Source organism: Homo sapiens, chromosome 9, assembly GCF_000001405.40.
Source record: "Homo sapiens chromosome 9, GRCh38.p14 Primary Assembly".
NCBI lineage: Eukaryota > Metazoa > Chordata > Mammalia > Primates > Hominidae > Homo > Homo sapiens.
In genome coordinates, this window is record NC_000009.12 from 41184075 (window position 1) to 41206209 (window position 22135).

The 22135-nt window shown below is 37.9% G+C and overlaps 1 protein-coding gene across 23 annotated transcripts in view, besides 2 other annotated features; it reads right to left on the bottom strand.

Moving 5' to 3' along the window:
- The window catches only part of ZNG1F (Zn regulated GTPase metalloprotein activator 1F), a 74427-nt gene extending 52766 nt beyond the window's left edge, over positions 1-21661 (bottom strand). For 21 of the 23 annotated variants that reach the window (NR_170339.1, XR_001746362.2, XR_001746359.2 and 18 more), the window contains exons 1-2: positions 5031-5243; positions 1919-2005 (exon numbers count right to left, since the gene is read on the bottom strand). Coding sequence is in view for 16 of the 23 variants with exons in the window: in XM_047423720.1 (XP_047279676.1) it covers positions 1919-2005; positions 5031-5184 (241 nt within the window). In the remaining 7 variants the exon portion in view is untranslated. Of the gene's footprint in view, positions 1-1918; positions 2006-5030; positions 5244-12092; positions 13156-14732 lie in introns of those variants that run through there. The other 2 variants (XM_017015028.2, XM_047423722.1) reach the window with 2 other exon arrangements.
- Positions 4354-4927: an enhancer, noted in NCBI's record as "H3K27ac hESC enhancer chr9:69261657-69262230 (GRCh37/hg19 assembly coordinates)". NCBI's record gives its function as "activates a minimal SCP1, AML or CMV promoter by ChIP-STARR-seq in primed H9 embryonic stem cells {active_cell/tissue: H9 hESC(primed)}" and the evidence as "EXISTENCE:reporter gene assay evidence [ECO:0000049][PMID:30033119]".
- Positions 4928-5499: an enhancer, noted in NCBI's record as "H3K27ac hESC enhancer chr9:69262231-69262802 (GRCh37/hg19 assembly coordinates)". NCBI's record gives its function as "activates a minimal SCP1, AML or CMV promoter by ChIP-STARR-seq in primed H9 embryonic stem cells {active_cell/tissue: H9 hESC(primed)}" and the evidence as "EXISTENCE:reporter gene assay evidence [ECO:0000049][PMID:30033119]".
- Positions 21662-22135: the final 474 nt, after the last annotated feature.

A 22135-nucleotide genomic window follows, 5' to 3' on the forward strand; every position in this document is an offset into this window, starting at 1 on the left:
TTCTTCTAAATTGTTTCTGTTAGACAAACTGCTGAATATTCCCAATGAGTAAAAACCCTAGTTCATCCTGAGGAAGGTTTTTGGCCAGTGTACCATGTGCTCATTTAAAAATTAAATTTATAGGGAGGCCAAGGCGGGCGGATAACGAGGTCAGGAGATCGAGACCACCCTCGCTAACACAATGAAACCTCATCTCTACTAAAATTACAAAAAATTAGCCAGGTGTGGTAGCGGGCGCCTGTAGTCCCAGCTACTCAGGCGGCTGAGGCAGGAGAATGGCGTGAACCCGGGAGGCGGAGGTTGCAGTGACCCGAGACTGTGCCACTGCACTCCAGCCTGGGCAACACAGCGAGACTCCATCTCAAAAAAAAAAAACCTAAACTTTTAGTCAAATTCACATATTTTCCTAGCAATACTTACTTAAGAAAGAATAAACTATATTTGAAATGCTTGTTATCTATAAGAATTATTTTAAATGTTTTACTTTTCCCCTAATAAAGAAATATACCAAACGGTGAAGTTCTAAAAGTCCACTAAGCAAATGAGCTCCCATAAAATCGAGTAGTTTTACACTTACATATTTTTTATATTTCAGCTAGGTATTAATAAAGAGCTTCTAAAGAGGTTGCTACAGAATTCGGACTATATACAGAACATTAATGAAACATGAAGAAAAGTATTGAGAATGCTGTGAAAAATAAAATTGTGAAAATGATCCAGGAAAAAATAAAGAAAATAGTAAGAATAAATGTAATCAGTGTGCAATAGGTTATTTAATAAGATGATGAAAAAAACAGTCTGTTATTAGAAATCTCAGGATTTTTGCCTAAAAAGCACTTTTCTCTTTAGTTTATTAAAATCAGAAATCGAATATAACTGGAATATAACTGGCTTCCCATCCTGTTCATAAAACCTAGCTCTTTTACTTTTTACAACTGAAAAAAATAGTACATTTTAAAAGAAATCGTCTAATAGATATTGTTTTTTGGCTAGAAGTGAGCTTTGATTACAATTCATACTTATGAAGAAAAACTCCTATAAAGATAACAGAAGTACTGTGTCTAGAGCTATTTTTTTTTTTACTACAGTTTAATATTTGAGTTGAGAAGTTAAGCACACTTATTTTCACAGATAAAATACATGAGGATAAAGACCATATGTTTACTTTCTTTTTAAAATATTGAGTTTTAACTGCATTGCAGATAATAAACATTAAACAAAGTTAACTAATAACAGAAGCATTTTCAAATATTTTTCATGAGTTGCAATAGAGTCCATACAAAACTGCCTTTCTAATTCCTAAAAAAGACATTTTTTGGCCAGGCATGGTGCCTCACGCCTGTAATCCCAGCAACTTTGGGAGGCCGAGGCGGGTGGATCATAAGGCCAGGAGCTCAAGACCATCCTGGCCAACACGGTGAAACCCTGTCTCTACTAAAAATACAAAAATTATCTGGGCATGGTGGCGCATGCCTGTAGTCCCAGCTACTCGGGAGGCTGAGGCAGGAGAATCACTTTAACCCGGGAGACAGAGGTGGCAGTGAGCTGAGATTGCACCACTGCACTCCAGCCTGGCAACAGAGAGAGACTCCATCTCAAAAAAAATAAAATAAAATAAAAAATAAACGTTTTTTCATATGTCTAGATTTTTACTTCTGGAGTCATTTATTTCATGTAAAAATGTAGTTTAATTCTGTTAATAAGAATTCCAAAGTTATACAAAATAAAATTTTATTAAAACTAATTTCAGTATCTCAACCCATATAAATCTTAACAGAAATTAATCTAATTTTTCTAAAGCTATCCACATCAATACAATACCTTGCATTTTCATTTTTAAATATGGAATATCAATTCACCAGAGGAATAAACAGTCACACAAAATCTTGCAACATGACATTTATTGAACTTTACTTACCTTCCCCAGATTCATTTAAAATGACCGCTACTCTTTTACTATGTTGCTCTGTCAAAATATAGTTCAGAAGTGTTGTCTTCCCAGCACCTATAAAACATATTTTTTGTAAATAAAAAAATTCAAAATAATTTTAAAGATACAAAAAACATATAAAGAATCCTAACATTTTTGAGAATTTGCATGCTATTTTTCATATATTATTTTAGTATAGAATATCCTAGAGGATAAGATTAAAGCATCCTTTGAAACCTGTTGCAAAATACTTTATGTAGACATAAAATTTTATAAATATTTACAAACACTCCTACAAGTTGAAACAGTTTCTTCAACCTAGCCTAACCTTCCCTAAAATTGACACACAATCTTTTATTTATAGTGACCTTTTATTTCAACATTAACGAGACGCAACTTCAGGCTGACTATATGGCTACTTATAGTATGCTTTAAACAATCTATAAAAGTTTTTATGAAATGGGGAATAGAGCCAGGTAGTGTCAACAATGAACAGAATGTTCAGTTAAGATAAATTCATAAAGCTATACCAACTTTATCCAGCAGGTGGCATATGAAACCCAATATGTCAATCTCCAGTAGAAAAAAAAGTCTTGTGAACCGTACACACTAAAATTCATAGAGGAAAAAAAGAAAATCCTAACTGCATAGTATTGTAGTTCAATTGTATGACTATATCATTTCTTTATCTTTTTTTTGTTGGACATTTGGTTTGTTTCCAGTGTTTTACTATTACAGTGCTGCTAAAAACTTTTACATGTAGGCTATACATGTCTTCTGAAATAAAGTTTTCTAGTATATAACTAGATCTTCCTACAACTAGGAAGATTTTACGGAGTATTAGGGTATTAATATCTTTTAGGTCATATTCCTTTCAAAGCTTTTTAAGAGATGAAGGCTTATATTTAGAGTACTTTAGGAAGCTCAACATCACAAAAATATGAAGTATAGTATGGAAGAGAGAGACTTAGGGCAATGAGGAAGATCTTAAAACCAGTCCAAGCCTGAGACAGAGGCCCTGAACATGAGTGTTTCGCAGGGCAGTGATGTGAAAACTGAAAGGAAAGGGTGAATGTAAGAAATCTTCTAAGAGAAGATTTACTAGGGCTTTTTAACCATATTATGAAAAAAAAAACACTTTAAGACATAGTTCATTCATTCAAAGGTTTCTAATACGTTACAGATTTATGCTGGGCCTTGGTGAAAAAGTGAACAAGATAGTCTCTGCCTTCATAGAGCTTAGAAATATTAAGGGAAGGGGGGAATGGAGGGGAATTCAGTGAATAAGGAGGCAATTATGTCACAGGGTGACATATTCAATAGGAGATGCACAAAATGCTATGGAGAACCTAAGAGGGACATCTAGCCAGAGGAGTCACAGTAAAAAAGTACCTATTCCAAGGGGCTAAAACACTTGGCACCTTTGAAGTAACCTTAGTTTATTGTGCGGGGCCAATTTGGCAGGCTGGAAAGGTTGGCAAGATCCAGATCCTACAGGTCCTTGTAATTCATGTTAAGGAATTTGAATTTTAACCCATAGGGACGCCACTGAAAGGTGTGACGCAGTCAGATTGACATTTATAAAGATCATTAAGGCTAACATGCAACTAATAAATTAAAGGGCAGCAAGACTCCAGATTAGTCAGGAGGCTTTTAGAGTATTCCAAATGGTTGGGATCACAGAAGCAGGATTTGGGGGGATGGTAACAGACGAAGTTTCAGACATGTTAAGTTTTAAGTTGTAGGACATCAAAATAGAAATTACACAGGTGTGTAGCTAAAGATGGACAAAGGGGGAAGGAGGAGGGAGCCTTAAAAAGAAGCCAGAGAAGCAGGTGGAAAAATCAGAAGAAAAATGTAATAGAAGCCAAAGGAACAGTGTTTCAAAAAGGGAAAATGGTCAGGGATAGGAGTGAAACTATCCCTAGATTCAGCAACAAGGTTGCTGGTATTAATTCTCACTCCTGAGCTTCAGATCATTTTCTCCAATGATCTACTGACCTACCAGTGAGCAACACGGGAAAGGCCCGAGGGGCACGTTTGAAATACATTGTTTTGGACAAGAAATTTGTTCATCTTCTCAGTAGAGCAGCCTCTGAATAACTGTGGGGAAACGCCAAAAATAAATTCCTTTATAAAATTACTTCCGAGCAAAAAACGGGAATAAACTTACAGTCTACAAAGTTTTTAAAAAAACAAAAGCAGTTATTTCTTATTTTTACATAAAAGGTCACGAAGTGGCCCAAGTCTGTACCTGTCTCTAGCAACAACTAGGAATATTATTTCCCGGAAACAGTATTATTTTATTTACATTTCTTAACTTTTTCCAAACTTCTAATACAGTCATATATTTGTTCTAGCCCTTCTATTTAACTGTAAGGTTTAAAAATATATTTCTCAAACTTTTCCAGTAAGAAACTTCTAGTGTAAGTGCATAAACCGCCCTTCACGAAACTACCAAGTTCACAAACTTGTGGTTTCGAGTATCCCTGTACACTCTAAACGTTCTTAGTTTGAGAAATAGTCTTGGAGGACAGAGATTTTATTCTTACTTCCTACGCAGTGGTTTACAAACAGACCTCAAAAGAAAAGTGTTTAAGATAGGAGCACTTCCTGCCAACTGGCTGGAGGACTTTGGCTCCTGGGGAAGGGGAATCTGCTGACGAAAGCCCCACGTGTCGGGCATTTTACAGACGGGACATCCTTTAATGGCAATAGGTAGGTTGTTCCGGCCCTATTTCACAGGTGACAGGTATTTTTCCATTTTCAGGTGAGGTAGATGAGCGTCAGGAAGGTAAGATAACTTGGTAAGAGGTCACAGAGACAATTAGGGGGGCGTGTCTTAGCTTCAAAGCCTTGTTTCAAAGGCTAACTTTCCATCTCACTTGAGAAATGGGAATCTAACGCAGAGGGGACCGGGCATCATTAACTCCCAAGATGAGAGGTAACCCATACGAGAAGCAAGTGACCCAGCCCCTACCTCAAAGACATTTGCTCTTGATCATGAGGCCCCAATGCCTCAGGAGAAGAGGCACCGGCAGCCCGCAAAATCCCATGACACCAGAGTTCACGGCATTTTGTGACTGGGATGGTTAGTTACCTAAATACCCGGTGATAATTGTGACTGGGATCTTGGCGCCGAGGCCAGACTTTTCCTCCTCCTCGCTTTGCGTCGTCTCAATGGGAACCAATTCAGGACAATCCTCCTCCGCAGGATCCTCTTCCTCATCCACAGATCCAACAGCCGGTAACATTCCGGCCTACAGCACGTCCCTACCTCAGCTGAACCGCTGGGACCAACACGCCGTACCGCAGCCGCGCACGCCCAGCACGCCACTCCCGGCCTGGCCGGGGCCTGACGTCATCACATCGCGACGCTAGCTGATCCCGCCCGGATTACCTGGGCTCTGGACGAGAACTGCCTCGTCCCTTAGCCACACCCCCCGGGGAGGTGGGCTCTCCCCGACGACAGCTGGACACGCCCCTGGGCGTGTTCTGTGAACCTGAGCGACGCTGCGGAGAGTCCTTAGGGCGCACTAACCACCTGTCTGAAGGTGTCACTGGCGCCTAGAGCCTTAATAAGCTACTGGCTGTAGGTAGAGCTGAGGCCAGCCTGCTGGAAATCTGGAGTGGGTAGCCTGACCTAACCAGTTCCCACAGGGCATAGATTTTATCAACTTGATTTTTTAGTCTCGTTAAAAAAAAAAGTTTTAATTCATAGGGGAAAGAATGGAAGGTTATAACATTACAATTTTAATTGTAATTTTTATACCTGAAGGATAACCAGTGACAATTTTTTCTTTTTTTATTATTACATATTATATATGTAATTCCAAATTTTTAGTATTCATGCATCACTTTTATTTACTTTTTTCTCATTATTTATTTGGACCTCAGGTAACCTAAGTTCATTAATCATATTTGCTGGTGCATGACACTCTCATCACTAATCCATAGATAGCCCTTCTTTCTAATATAAATTTATAGTGAACTCCTTTGACCTCATTCCTAACATAAAAGCATTACCAGTAAGCTACACGTACCTATGTGCACCGCCCCCGCTTCCAATCCACAGCCTGCCCCATAAGATAGTAACAACAGTCATGAATTGGTTCTGGATTGCTGATCATTCCCTGTTTTCTTTTTAGTTTTATCACATATCCCACGTATGTACTTAGAGAATATGTTGTTTAATTTTGGGTGTTTTTGAGCTTCATAAAATTATCCATATAATATATAAACTCCTGAGGCTTGCTATATTTTTCAGCATCACTGCTGTCTTGTATTCTATTGTGTGGCTACACGGCAATTTATTCATTTCCTCTCAATTGTTCCAGGTTTTGCTCTTATGAACAGGGCTGCTATGAACATTTTTCCTGACATATGTGTGTGCAACTTCCTCTTGAGTGTCTGTGTAAGAGTTGAATTGCTGGGTCCTAGATTATTCAAATGTTTTACTTCACAAGAAAATGCACAATTATTTTTCAAAATGTTTGTACAAATTGATACATTTTCCCAGCAAATTATAAGAGATCTCATTGGTCTGTATGTCAATATTATCAGGCATGCATTTTTCACCAATCAATTGAGTACAAAAGAAGACTTCATTGTGATCTTCATTTGCATTTCCTTGATTACTAACAAGGTTGAGAATCTTTTCATGTGTTTTGGCAATATGTAATTCTTAGAATGACCCTGTAGAGTGTTATCCCTCTTTCAAACATGAGGCACCAAGAGTTAAGTTACTTGTCCAGGTTAGGTCATAAAAATCTATCTGATGCACAAGTAGAATGTTTTACTACTATCCTGATGCCAAATAAAAGGTTGACTTTTCCTTCCTTCTCTGAAATTCCCCATAAAATATACTGTGTGTATTCCATTAGTTCTACTGATAAGTACATATAACTTTAAAGTATTTATCACGCCTTTTGCAGAACACAGTTAAGACAGAGGGTTTATATTTGTGCAAATGAGTATATTATATTCACACATACACTCGGTCTGAGAAATCAGGTCTTGAATGTTTTGCCAGCTTTGACAATGTAACCATGAACCAGCTGAGGAAGAAATAAGGCAAATACCTTAGGCGTGGTGGTTCAGTTCACTGTATTCTGCCAAAGGAGAGAAGCTGTGATGGGTAGCCCAAAATAGATAGCTTACGCCCTAAACACAATGGTTCATAAGCTTTTTCGTTTCAGGAATGCTATGAAGTATTGATTTTTTTGGCAACCTAAGGGAAGGAGTAACATTGCACCCACAGGCATCACACTATTTGCTTGATGTCCCTTCAGCACTGCATTACTGCCTGAATAGCAGCTATTACAGCCCTCACCATCTTCTTTGACATATTTTTAAAAGTACATTCTTGTGGGTTCCCAATATGGCACTGGCTGAATGTTATACTAAAATCCCTCTTTCTGTTTTTTGAGACAGGGTCTCACTCTGTCGCCCAGCATGGATTGCATTGGCACGATCACAGCTCACTGCAGTCCTAAACTCCTGGGCTCAAGTGATCCTCCCATCTCAGCCTCCCAAGTAGCTGGGACTCCAGTCATATGCCATTACATCTGGCTAATTTTTCTTTTTCTTTTTGGTAGAGACAGGGTCTCACTATGTTGTCCAGTCTGGTCTAAAGTCTCATCTCTAACAATGAACAACCTGTAACCTATGAGGCCAGCTCAGTCAAGTTGACCAAATAGCATTGTTGTAACAGTATGTAGCCTCAATGAGAGCAAAATAAGTTTTACACATTGGCCAAAAATTAAATGCACCACAAATATCTATCAACTGATAGACAACCAAAATGTGACAAATGGATAAACAAAATATGATCTATCCGTACAATGGAAAATTATTTGGCAATAAACAGGAAAAAGGACTGATACCTGCTACAAAATGAATCAATCTTGAAAACATTATGGTAAGTGAAAAAAGCTATTCACAAAAGACCACATGTTGTATGATTCCATTTATATAAAATAACCAAAATAGGCAAATCTATAGAGACAGAAAGTACATTAATGGTTCCCAGGAGTAGAGGACTGGGGAGAGACTACAGTGGTTTTTGGGCGGTGATGAAAATGTTCTAAAATTGATTATGGTGATGGTAGTACAACTCTGATTATACTGAAAACCATTGACTTGTACACTTTAAATTGGTGAATTGTATCATATGTGAAATTTATCTCAATAAAGCTGCTATTCTTAAAAGAAATAAACACCTATCTGTGCATCAAAATGGGGTGCCTGTGTGCATTTGTAGAGAAACACTGTCTTCAGCAGTTTCAAGTTCTGGCCTTAGGCACAAGTATAAAGATTACAGCTTGATAAAATTTTTCCTTTAGTCTGTTCCATATTCCTCTTCAGTTAAATTTTTATCTATGGATTCTGTGGAGTCCTGTCATTTTATTTTCTCAGATAGAGTTGTAATTTCAGTTCTCCCAAAATAGCTGGGCTTGACTTTTTATTTTTATTTCTTTTTTCTTTTTGAGATGGAGTCTTGCTCTGTTGCCGAGGCTGGAGTGCAGTGGCACGATCTTGGCTCACTGCAACCTCTGTCTCCGGGTTCAAGCGATTCTCCTGCCTCAGCTTCCTGAGTAGCTGGGATTACAGGTATGCACCACCACGCCCAGCTAATTTTTGTATTTTTAGTAGAGACGAGGTTTCACCACGTTAGCCAGGCTGGTCTTGAACTCCTGACCTCCTGATCCATCCACCTCAGCCTCCTAAAGAGCTGGGATTACAGGCGTGAGCCACTGTGCCGGGCTTTTTTTTTTTTTTTAACTTATAAGAGGGTTAAATTGTTAAATTGTTAAATTGAAAATGCCTTTTTAAATAAGTATGAAATTTCTTAATTATAATATTTTAGAATCTATTGCAGTTTCTGATGTAACTTAAAAATTCCTCCTCATTTAGCTTTGCTATTTTGTCTCATTTACTTTAGGGTAAAACAACAACAACAACAACAATAGTAATGTTTTGAGCCCCTAAGCATCTGATAGGCACTGTGTTAAGCACATTAAATGCATTATCCCATTTAACTCTCCAAGGTAAATACTATTTGTGTGCCCATTTTATAGATGAGGAAATTGAGGCTTAGAAAAGATAAATACCTTGCTCAAAGTCATACAATCAGTAAATGGCAGCCCTTGGGCTCAATCCAAACCTGCCTGACACTAAATCTCCTGCTCTTTTAAACCAGAAGATCTGCAAACTCTTCTGTAAAACTAGATGATAAATATCTTAGTCTTTACAGATCAAAAAGCAAATTTGAGGACATTGTGTAGGTACTTATATAATAAGAGAGAGAGCAAATGTCTACAAGTTTGAAATTTGAATTTCATGTATTAAACAAAATTATGAGAGGCCATTGTTTTGGACTGAGCTCCTGCACTAATCCCAAGCAGACCAGACCAAACCAAAATGGAGTCGCTCATGCTAAGCACCACAAAATCAAACTAAAACTTTAAAAAACAGGTCCCAAAATAGACGAGTTTTTTTTTTCTTCTCCTGAAGACAGAAGATTCCAGTATAATAAGGAAGTCCCCTCTGCTCTATCCCTTACAGAAAAGTAACCCAAAGTAACAACAGATTACTTACAAAAAAGCAATCTCAGCCAGACACAGTGGCTCATGCCTGTAATCCCAGCGCTTTGGAAAGCCAGGGCGGGTGGATCACCTGAGGTCAGGAGCTTGAGATCAGCTTGGCCAACGTGGCAAAACCCCATCTATACTAAAAATACAAAAATTAGCTGGGTGTGGTGGCACACGCCTGTAGTCCCAGCTACTTGGGAGGTTGAGGCAGAAGAATTGCTTGAACCCGAAAGGTGAGGTTGCAGTGAGCCAAGATTGTGCCACTGCACTCCATCCTGGGTGACAAAAAAATAAAAAAGTAATCTGATGTTAACCAATCAGTTTTTTTTTCTATACTGTTTCCTTGTTCCCACCTTACAAAATCCAGTGTTCTGCTATTTTCCAATGGGATTAGAGACCAAATAACTCTATTTATGATGATAAAAAGTGATGTCAATGCCTAAAGTTTTGGGCAACCTCAAAATTAATCATCCTCTCAAAATTGACAGGTTGACCAAAAGGAGGAATTGTTAAATTCATTGTGGCCTAAAGCTGCCTCCTTACATATTTTAAGTTTACCCTAAAGGTTTCCCAGTACATAAAAAACTATATTTCAACTTGATATGTAAAACTTGATATGTAACCTACTCTTGTAACAAGTAGTGAGTCTCAGCCAATCACAGCAGCTGAACTTCAGCCAACCACAGGCAGCCAACTCTTCAAACCAGGTTCAAATAAGGCAAATGCTCAGCTGTAACCAACCCTACTCTGGTTCTGGGGGCTGCCTAATTCACAGATCATTCTTTACTCAATTAAACTCTAAAGTTTTCCTTTCAACATGTATAATTTTCACATCACGAAATAATAATCTTCTTTAATTTTTTTTCCAATGTATTAAAAATGTAAAAACCATTTGCAGGCTACACAATAAATGGTAGCAGGCTATAGATTCCCAACTCCTGATCTAAGCTAATATAATATACTGTTTTCTTAAGCAGAGTTAATGAAATTTTGAGAAATTGGATCCTCCTTGCTCTTTTAAACTCAGTTTGTAAATCACTCACCATTAAAACAATCCTGGACCCTCAAAGGGTTAGGTACCACTGTGCCAATTACCACAGTGCTAATATTCAGAGGAAGATCTGAAGCTGAGAAGCTTAAACTTTTTTCCCAAGGTCACTAATACCTGGCCTGGGAAAGACCTAATTAAGGTGAAACTTGAGTCTTTGCATTGTAGTAGGAGTCCTCCTAGGTGGGAGCAGAGCAGAGCAGATAAGCTCTTAAACTGTCTGGATTTCAGCAGCTCAGCTTTCTGACAATAACCTTGCCATATGTCCTTTGGCACAATTCCCTACTAATTCCCTACTACTCCCCTTTGCTTGGTTCTTCTCTCTTGAATAGTTATGTTAATCACCATAAGAAAAAGAACTGTAGCTATATCCAAATAAGAAGAAAGCTAAAAATAATACCAACTTGGTTTTGTTTTTCGTTTTTTTCTTTCTCATTTTTGCAACTTCCTGCAAAGGAAACAACATACTAGTGGCCAGCAATAGCTACTGGTTTAGAGGAAAGGAAGCTGAGAGTTTCAAAATTAACCCAGTTCCTCTTATCTAGCTGTGGCAAGTAAATAAATAAAATATTTTTAAATGTTTAAAGTTTATCAGTTTATTTAACATTTTTCATTGGGTACACATGAACTTGTTGGGAACATATCTAAAAGGCCAGAGGTCAATGGCTTGTATTCTTGTGACTGCTTTGGTTAAGGTTGAATATCAATATTCAAGTGTCATATAGTCGTCTTTTAAGATATACAACCACTGTAAGGACAGGAAAGAATATTTCCTCTCCAGAATATTGAAGATGACTAGCAGGTGAAAAATGTACATTTCAATGTTTTTAGGGGCTGTGACATTAAAGGCTGTAAGTAACATTGTTTGAATTCATTATCTTTGGTGGTTAAACCATGCTATTAATAAGTCTTAGCTTACAGTTGAGTCACTTGTAAGTCAGCTTGCCATGAAATTAAAAAAAAAAAAAGAAAACACCATTCAAAGCCCTCAAGCTGACAAGTTGAGTGGTGCACCAATCTCTCTAAAAGAAACTATATTTTAGATACTATAGGAGTGGTGGAATGACAGGAGTGGAGGTTGGGCAAAATGAAAAAAAATGTTTTGCAATGATGTATGGTGTAATAGTTTAGGAGAGAGTCTAAATAATTTCTTCCATTGTCATTAGAAATTTTAAATGGACATTTGTGGCTACAAGTTTCACTTTCTAATTTTTATAGTGTTAGAGAAGCATATTCCAAAATCCATAGGCACCTGCTCATAATTCCTTACACGTAAGTAAAAGGCATGAAACAAATGATCCATCTCCATTCTTCCTTCCCCTTTCTATTCCCTCGAAGAGTGTTTAATCATACTTAATTGAAATACCATGCTACTGGCAAAGCCAGGTCTTTCTGGCTTCAAGACCAGGGTCTTTTGAGTCCTATAGCTCCGTCCTTCAGTCATTGTCTTAGACCTTTTGTGCTGCTATAACAAAATATCCAATACAGGGTAATTTATAAATAATAAAAATTTATTTCTCACAGTTCTAGAGGCTATGAAGTCCAAAATCAAGGTGCCAGGAAGTTTGTGTCTAGTGAGGGCTGGTCTCTGCTTCCAAGATGGTATCTCAAAAGCTGTGTCCTCCTGAGGGGATGAACAATGTGTGTTCACCTGGCAGAAGGAGACAGAAATAAGCTTTCACATTGTTTAAGTTTCTGTTTATGCCACTGAAACTAATCCTAACCAACTTATTTGATTAATTGTTTTTTAAATAATATAAGTAGGCTGTGCACAGTGGCTCATGCCTGTAATACAAGCACTTTGGGAGGCTGAGGGGAAAGGATCTCTTGAGGCCAGGAGTTCAAGGTCAACCTGGGCAACATAGCAAGACCCTGTTTCTACAAAAATTTTAAAACTTAGCTGGGCATGGTGGCATGCACCAGTAGTCCCAGCTACTCAGGAGGCTGAGGTGGGAGGATCACGCAAGCCTAGGAGTTTGAGGTTACAGTGAGCTATGATCACTGCACTGCACTCCAGCCTGGGTGAGAGAGAAAGACCTTGTTTCTTATTAAAATATATATACACACACATATATATATATGTGTGTGTATGTGTATATATATAGTATTTATATATAAATTTTGTATTATACCTGAATGTATTATAACTATAAAAAATTCAAACAGTAGAAAAGTATTAGGGTAAAACGTGGAGTATCTTTCACTAACCTCAATTTTACTTCCCTTCACCGATATTATATAAACACTGTGAGCAATTTAATAGACGTAGGTCCAGATTTTTTTGGTCCAATATTACCTTTGCCCCTGCCATGTTAGGTATTTTTCTGTAGGAGAAGCAAGATTCCCTCCTGAAAGAATATTCCTGTTTAGACTAAGTCTTATGTATATGAATATATGTATTTGCATACATGTGCATTCATAAAATTATAACAGAAAGATAGAGTACATTTGTATACATATGTGGCTTTTGTTTTTAATAAATAGGAACATACATAGGCTTTGTTCTGGAGCTTGCTTTCTTCACTTGACAATATGCACTGATACTCTTTCCTTCTCACTAGAATTAGAAATACATCATTCATCATTTTTTTTTTTTTTTGAGACAAAGTTTTGCTCATGGTGTCCAGGCTGGAGTACAATGGTGCAGTCTTGGCTCACTGCAACCTCTGCCTCCAAGGTTCAGGCAATTCTCTTGCCTCAGCCTCCCAAGTAGCTGGGATTACAGGCACCCGCCACAACGCCTGGCTAATTTTTGTATTTTTAGTACAGATGGGGTTTCACCACATTGGCCAGGCTGGTCTTGAACTCCTGACATCAGATAATCCACCTGCCTCGGCCTCCCAAAGTGCTGGGATTACAGGTGTGAGCCACCATGCCAGATCATACATCACTCATTTTTTAAACCACTTCATGTTATTCCATAATAGAGATGTAACTATTTCATCATATCTTCAAAAGGGACATAAAGATTGACTAACTACCTCTTCAAAACATGCTCGAAAGTAAATTCAACATATTATCAAGAAATATAAGAAAGTATGTTGATTAGCCATAGCTTGTATGTTTAATAATAAACTTTATTCTTATTCTCCTTTGATATTTTAGACTGGTTAGCTTCGCTTATTAAATTAGTTTACTTCAGTTATGGAAATATCAAATTCAATATATTTTAATATTAATTTCTTATTAACAGTTCTGGTTACTTATAATTAATATGATTCTACCCATATGCTTTATTTTTATAGCAAACTCATATTTTGGATTGTGTATTGCTATCCATAAATTTACACATGTACTTTCATAATTTAATTGTGGTTAATGAGTTTTTGGCAGCAGTATACAATACACAGATTAAAATTAATTCTGAACTGATGCTAGAAGAAAGATGAGTTCACATATTGCATCTTGATAATAGTGCTGGTTTGTGCCTAAAGTATAGCTTAGCTATTCATATCCCTGGGTAATACCACTGGTAGGCCGGGTACGGTGGCTCACATCTGTAATCCCAGCACTTTGGGAGACCAAGACAGGTGGATCACCTGAGGTCAGGAGTTTGAGAACAGCCTGACCGACATGGTGAAACCGTGTCCCTACTAATAATACAAAAATCTGCCGAGTGTGATAGCACACTCCTGTAATCCCAGCTACTCGGGAGGCTGAGGCAGGAGAATCGCTTGAACCTAGGAGATGGAGGTTGCAGTGAGCCAAGATCATGCCATTGCATTCCAGCCTGGGCAATAACAGAGAAACTCCATCTCCAAAGGAAAAAAAAAGAAAAAAGAAACTGTTAGTAAGCAGAATATTATTAATCTATATGCTTTTACATCATAATGGTTCCTTTTACTTCATGTATTTTTGTTCATGAAATTCTGTAAATCATACAAGCTACAGATGGTGACAGCAGTAGAAATATAAATTTTAGCACACTTGTGTATGCATTAATATGTTCAAAATATATAAAGAAATGGTATTTATATAAATAAATACATATAATTATTTGATCATAATCAGAGGTTAACATGGGTTACCTTTTGGGGAGAGGAAACAGCAGAGGTGATATGGTTGGCAGACAAAGAGGGTATGGAGAAGTAATCTCCCACTGTATTAGTCTGTTTTCACATTGCTGGGCAATTTGCAAAAGAAAGAGGTTTATTGGACTTACAGTTCCACATGGCTGGAGAGGCCTCACAATCATGGCAGAAGGTGAAAGGCATGTCTCACCTGGAAGCAGACAAGAGAAGAGAGCTTGTGCAGGGAAACTCCCCTTTTCAAAACCATCAGATCTCATGAGACTTGTTCACTATCACAAAAACAGCATGAGAAAGGCCTGCCCCCATGATTCAGTTACCTCCCACCGGGTCCCTCCCACAATACATGGGAATCCAAGATGAGATTTGGGTGGGGACACAGCCAAACCATACCATTCCACCCCAGCCCCTCCCAAATCTCATGTTCTCACATTTTAAAATGAGTCATGGCTTCTCAACCGTCTCCCAAAGTCTTAATTCATTTCAGCATTAATTCATTTCAGTGTTAACTCAAAAGTCCACAGTCCGAAGTCCAAAGTCTCATCTGAGACAAGGCAAGTCCCTTCCACCTATGGGCCTGTAAAATCAAAAGCGAGTTAGTTACTTCCTAGATATAATGGGGGTACAGCATTGGTAAATACAGCCATCCCAAATGGGAGAAATTGGCCAAAACAAAGGGGATACAGGCCCCATGAAAGTCTGAAATCCAGTGGGACAGTCAAATCTTAAAGCTCCAAAATGATCTCCTTTGCCTCCATGTCTCACATCCAGGTCATGCTGATGCAAGGGGTTGGTTCCTATGGTCTTGGGCAGCTCTGCCCCTGAGGTTTTGCAGGGTACAGCCTCTCTCCAGGTTGCTTTCACAGGCTGGCATTGAGTGTCTGTGGCTTTTCTAGGTGCACAGTGCAAGCCGTCCATGGATCTACCATTCCAGGGTCTAAAGAACAGTGGCCCTCTTCTCACTGCTCCACTAGATGGTGCCCCAGTAGGGACTCTGTTTGGGGGCTCCAATCTCACATTTCCCTTTCACACTGCCCTAGCAGAGGTTCTCCATGAGGGACCCACCCCTACAGCAAACTTCTACATCTTCTGATATCTAGGCAGAGTTTCCCAAACCTCAATTCTTGACTTCTGTGCACCCGCAGGCTCAAAGCCATGTGGAAGCTGCCAAGGCTTGGGGCTTGCACCCTCTGAAGCAACAGACAGAGCTGTACTTTGGCTCCTTTCATTCATGGCTGGGATGCAGGGTATGAAGTCCCTAGACTGCATACAGCAGAGGGACCCTGGGCCTAGCCCACAAAACCACTTTTTCCTCCTAAACCTCTGGGCCTGTGATGGGAGGGGTTGCCATGAAGAACTCTGACATGCCCTGGAGACACTTTCCCCATTGTCTTGGGGATTAACATTCAGCTCCTTGTTACTTATGCAAATTTCTGCAGCCAGCTTGAATTTCTCCTTAGAAAATGGGATTTTCTTTTCTAGCACATTGTCAAGCTGCAAATTTTCCAAACTTTTGTGCTCTGCTTCCCTTATAAAACTGAATACCTTTAACAGCAGCCAAGTCACCTCTTGAATGCTTTGCTGCTTAGAAATTTCTTCTGCCAGGTACCCTAAATCATCTCTCTCAAGTTAAAAGTTTCACATATATCTATGGCAGGGGCAAAATGCCCCTAGTATCTTTACTAAAACATAAGAAGAGTCACCATTGCTCCAGTTCCCAACAAGTTTCTTGTTTCCATCTAAGACCACCTCAGCCTGGACTTTATTGTCCATATCACTATCAGCATTTTGGGCAAAGTCATTCAACAGGTCTCTAGGAAGCTCCAAACTTTCCCACATATTCCTGTCTTCTGAGCCCTCAAAACTGTTCCAACCTCTGCTTGTTGCCCAGTTCCAAAGTTTCTTCCACATTTTCAGGTATCTTTTCAGCAGCGCCCCACTCTACTTGTACCAATTTACTGTATTGTTTCATTTTTATGCTGCTGATAAAGACATACCTGAGACTGGGCAATTTGCAAAAGAAAGAGGTTTATTGGACTTACGGTTCCACATGGCTGGGGAGGCCTCACAATCATGGCGGAAGGCAAAAGGCACATCTCACATGGAACCAGACAGGAGAAGAGAGATTATGCAGGGAAACTCACCTTTTTAAAACCATCAGATCTTGTGAGACTTTTTCACTATCCCGAGAACAGCACAGGAAAGACCTGCCCCCATAATTCAATTACCTCCCACCGGGTCCCCCCACAACACATGGGAATTCAAGATGAGATTTGGGTGGGGACACAGCCAAACCATATCACCCCCCCAAAAAAAAATCCCGTTTAGATTAAGTTTTATGTTTATGAATATATGTATATGCATACATGTGCATGCAGAAAATTATAACAGAAAGATAGAGTATTACATATGTAAATATGTATTTTTTATATGTACTGATTTGTAGAATAACAATTATAAGTGATATAAGGTGAAAGAAGCAATTTGTTCATAAGTATGTAGTATGATTCCATTTCAGTAAAAATTAACAAAAACATGCTTGTATGTGCATGGGCATATATTAATATGTGCTCATATATATATATGCTATACATATATATATATATATGTATGCTGATATATGTATGTGGAAGCAATATGTTTGTGATGATACACACCCTTGCAATAACATGAACTACCTCAGGGAGTACTGTAGATGACAGAGACAATGGGGGAAGAGGAGCAATGTTACCTTAAAAAAAAACTTTGCATCCTATTACTGGTTACAAGAGGCATATAAAATTATTTTTAAAATTTTAAATAAATATGTTAGCAACCTTTGTATGGATGGAAAATTTTAAATATGTATGAAAATACTGATTGCGTATACCTTTTGAAATTCTACTGATAGGGATTTATCCCACATATTTACATATACAAACATTTATGACATTCATAGCACTATTGTTTTAAAGGTGAGATGTTGGAAACATCCTAGCTATTTAACTATAGGGGAATGGCTAAATAAGTTTGGCTCACTCAAAGGATACCATGGAAGAGCAAGGCTTTGCATCGTATTTCGATATGAAACTGTTAGAAGCACCTTTATTTTGAATAGCCTCTAAGAAAAAGTTGGATAGAAAGAGTCTAAATGAAATATTCTGATTAATAACAGAACCTATACTATAAGATGGTGAATTTCTGATCAGAAAGGTGAAAAGTTCATCTACAGCTTAAGTGGACAAATTAAATTTTCTATAACATTCATATCTGATAGATTAAATAAACAGGTACAATTTCCTTAAGAAACATGCTTTATAAGTTTTATGGTCACTACATTCTTTAAAGTTAAGGGTTACATTCCTGGGAGATTAAATAAAAACAGCAAAGTTAACAGTTGATTTGCCTGAGGAGCTACTTGTTCTTCCTCAGTAAACATTGAAGAGAAAAGTAATGTAATATAACAGAAACAGAGCACGCATCTGATAAACATGTAACAGCAAAAGGGGGTGCACAGGCCTTTGCCCTACCTGGCTGGTGTCCTTTGTTCTTTGTACTTCTGAGGTTGCCAGAATGTAAATGTTCATTTCACTATCTTAAATGAGCAGAGTAATAACCAGAATCAGACTTTGAATTCTAAAAGCTCTTGGATCAAGAAGATTCTGTCTTTCCAACGTTTGCATCAAATAACATCGTGACCTATACTATCTTTTTTAATATTAAGTGAAGCTTAATCAAAATTTTAGGTTTAAAATACAAGAGTCATTAAAAAGATACATTGTTAGGTAGAAAAACATGCAGAATAGTATGCTGTTTCATTTGGAGGGGAGGAAAAGAAAATAGAAAATGCTTAACATAACAATTTTTATTTTTATTACTTCATGTAAGAACTTCTCTACAACCACTGATTTTCTTACTTGCTTTCTAAGCAATGTAGAATTTTCGTCACCACTTCACCATTAATTTCTTCTTATTAATCCATTGCTGTTTTCCCAGCTGAAAGAGAAAACTTCCTTTTAATTTTCTAACTCATTTTGAAACAATTTCAACTTACAAAAGTTACAAAAATAGTAGAGATTCCCATATACCCTTCACTGTACTTTCCTGAATGTTGATATCTTACTATCACTACCATGTTCAAAAGCAGGTAATGAGTGTCGATACGCTACCATTCACAAAACCAGAGACCTTATTCACATTTTGCCAGTTGTCCCACCGAAGACCTGTTTCTGGGCCAAGACCTAATCCAGAATCCCACATTGCATTCAGTTGTCACCTCTCAGTCTACTTTAATCAGAAGCATTGCTCAGTCTTTGTCTTCCAGGACCTTGACACTCTTGAGGAGTACTGGTCAGTTGTTTTGTAGAATGTTCCTTCACTTGGATTTGTCTTATGTTTCAGCATGGTTAAATTCAGGTTATATATTTTTGGCAGGGATACTACAAGTTGATGTTGCATCCTTCTCTGTGCATCACTTCAGGAGGCACATGACATCCACCTGTGCTTTTACTAGAATGTTAACTTTGTCAGCAGGGTTCTGCCACAATAAAATTACTGTTTCCCTGATGCAGTTAATAAGTACCTGATGGGGAGATACTTTGAAGCTATGTAAATGTCTTGTGTTTTCATCATACTCTAGCTCACAGTTGATCATCCATTATTCTTTTTCAAAATTACAGCTTTATTAAGGCACAACTTAGCCACTCATTTAAGTGTACAACTCAATGAGTTTTAATAACATTTATACAGTTGTGCCACAATCATCCCAATCCAGTTTTAGAACACTTTCACCATCCCAAAAAATTCCTTTGTGACTGTGTACAATTAATCTCTTTAGCTTAGGCCCCAGGTAACCATTGGTCTGCCTTCTGTCTTTGTTTATACAATACACTGAATTTTTTCTCATTATTTACTTGCTTGACTTTTTACTCTGAACAAATATTAGTTTATGAGTGAGAAGACAATTTCTAACACATTGTTTGGTATATGACACAGGAAAGACACTGACCAGCCTGGAAGTCAAGAGAAATAATGGATTCTTTAGTGTCAGACTAAACATAAACTTTGAATATTCTAGATACTAGCAGAACCTAAATTATCCAGTTGCCTTAGATCTTCAGTTAATTCATAAAAATAATTCCAATTAAATTCTTTCTCTGAATTTATAAAGTCAAAAGCATAACCTTTGATCCTTATAAGCACAAAGCAATTTTGATTTTATCATGTCAACATGCCTTAGAAAAATGGTAAGGTCCAGGGGTTTTGTTTCTTTGTTTTTTTCTTGTTGTCATTTTGTTTTGTTTTCCTTTGGTTTGTTAGTTTTGAAGGCCTTCACTTTTTGGTTTGCTGTTTAAAATTATTTTCTTCCGGAGCCAATTTTATTAACCCAGTGAAATATAATTTCAAGGACATTGTGTCTTACCCACACCCTCCAAGGTATGTTTTATATAATAAGGCAATGTTGTTAAAATCAGGATAATTTTATTTTTAAAAAATGTATATATCTAGCATCTCTCAAAAGAAAATCCTTAGATCTAGCAGTACATGGCCCAAGTTTCCACAGCTGGAGCAAGTTGTGGCCATCCACTTTAGATAGAATATGTTCTTTGGTTTGCCAAGGCCCCACCTATTCCCTATTGAATCACATCACAACTGCTTCATTCTTGTAAGCTCCTTATCTAGCCCTGTTGGACACTTGAGTTTGTTTATGTATTTATTTATATATAAATTTTTATTTTATATATATATATATATATATATATATATATATCTGTATAACCACAACCACAGATGTGTGCATATTAAAATTTAACTATTTTCCATAGTTAAATTTTGGCAGGGATACTACAAATTGATGTTGTAGTATCAATTGGCAGGGATACTACAAATTGATGTTGCCAAGGCCCCACCTATTCCCTATTGAATCACACCACAATAGCTTCATTCTTATAAGCTCCTTCTCTAGCCTTTCTGGACACTTGAGTTTGTTTATTTAGCCTTAGTAAAGTAAAGCTCACTAATGTTAAAGTTACAGGTATCCTCCCCAACACATAAATAGCGAATACACTACCATTTCTATCTCCCCACACTTCCAACGTTTAATTTTGGTTAGATTATTTCTTTTTCATTATCATGACTATGTAAACAATATCCACAGATAAGCTTTATAGTATCCTCTGATTCTTTTTTCATTCCTACTCAACTTTTTATTTTCCCTGAAATTAATAATTTTATGAGTTATAATTTTTAATGTTTTTATTGTAGTTTTGGTTGCATAATACCATATATTTATCATTAATTCATTCCCAAGCTCTTAAAAAGTTGCTTAAATCTCCTTTTCGTATGTTCAGATGAATCCAGTATTCTTTTAATTTCATTTTCTTCAAGAAATCTATCCTAGGGTCTTGTGATCTGCTCTGTGTTGGAAATTGTTGCCCTTTATGTTACATGCACAGCTCAGGGATCTTGCTGCAGATTCCCTTTTCTTCTGTCTTGTGCTGAATTCCCTTGATTCCTAAATCCTATGTTTTCCTCTTTCACAATTTATACCTTTATTTTTTGTGGAGCACATCCTCTAGTAGCTTCCTGAGAAAAAGTGTGCATCGAGTGAACTCTTTGAGACCTTGCATATCTTAAAATGTTTTTAGTATATACATAGATTCAGTTGATGGGGTGGCTCGTTCAGTAATCAGGCTACATTAGGCTATGCTACAGCAACATATCCCTAAAGTCTTAGTGGCTTAATATGAGAGGAGTTTATTTCTACTTGCATCCCAGACCAAAGCAGGCCAGCTAACACTCACACAAGGCTACTTTCATTGGGCAGTTCCAGAAGTTGGGAGTCCTTCACTCCAGCTGTCAGAATGAGGCGGTGAGAGTGCAGAGAAGGCACTACTACTCTTAATTGTCTCAGACTAGAAGTGGCTTCTTATCCCATTCATACTCCTTTTGTGACTATTATTTATACTATCTGGTCTAAGTCCACAGGGACTGGCAAATGTAGAGATGAATATTTGTTTACTTCATATGTTCTGACACAGTGAAGTTGAGAATTCTGGGTTGGAATTCTTTTCTCTCTCTCTTTTTTTTTTTTTTTTTTTGAGACGGAGTCTCATTCTGTCACCCAGGATGGAGTGCAGTGGCATGATCTCGGCTCTCTGCAACCTCCACCTCCTGGGTTCAAGTGATTCTTCTGTCTCAGCCTTCTGAGTAGCTGGGATTACAGGCATGCGCCACCACGCCTGGCTAATTTTTGTATTTTTAGTAGAGATGGGGTTTCACCTTGTTGGTCAGGCTGGTCTCAAACTCCTGACCTGGTGATCTGCCCTCTGTGGCCTCCCAAAGTGCTGGGATTACAGGCGTGTTCCACTATGCCCAGCTAATTTTTGTATTTTTAGTAGAGACAGCATTTCACCATGTTGGTCAGGCTGGTCTTGAACACCTGACCTGGTGATCCATCCTCTTCGCCTCCTAAAGTGCTGGGATTACAGGCGTGAGCCACCATGCCCGGCCTCTTTTCTCTTTTGAATGTGGTAGGCACTGCTCTGTGTCTTCCGAC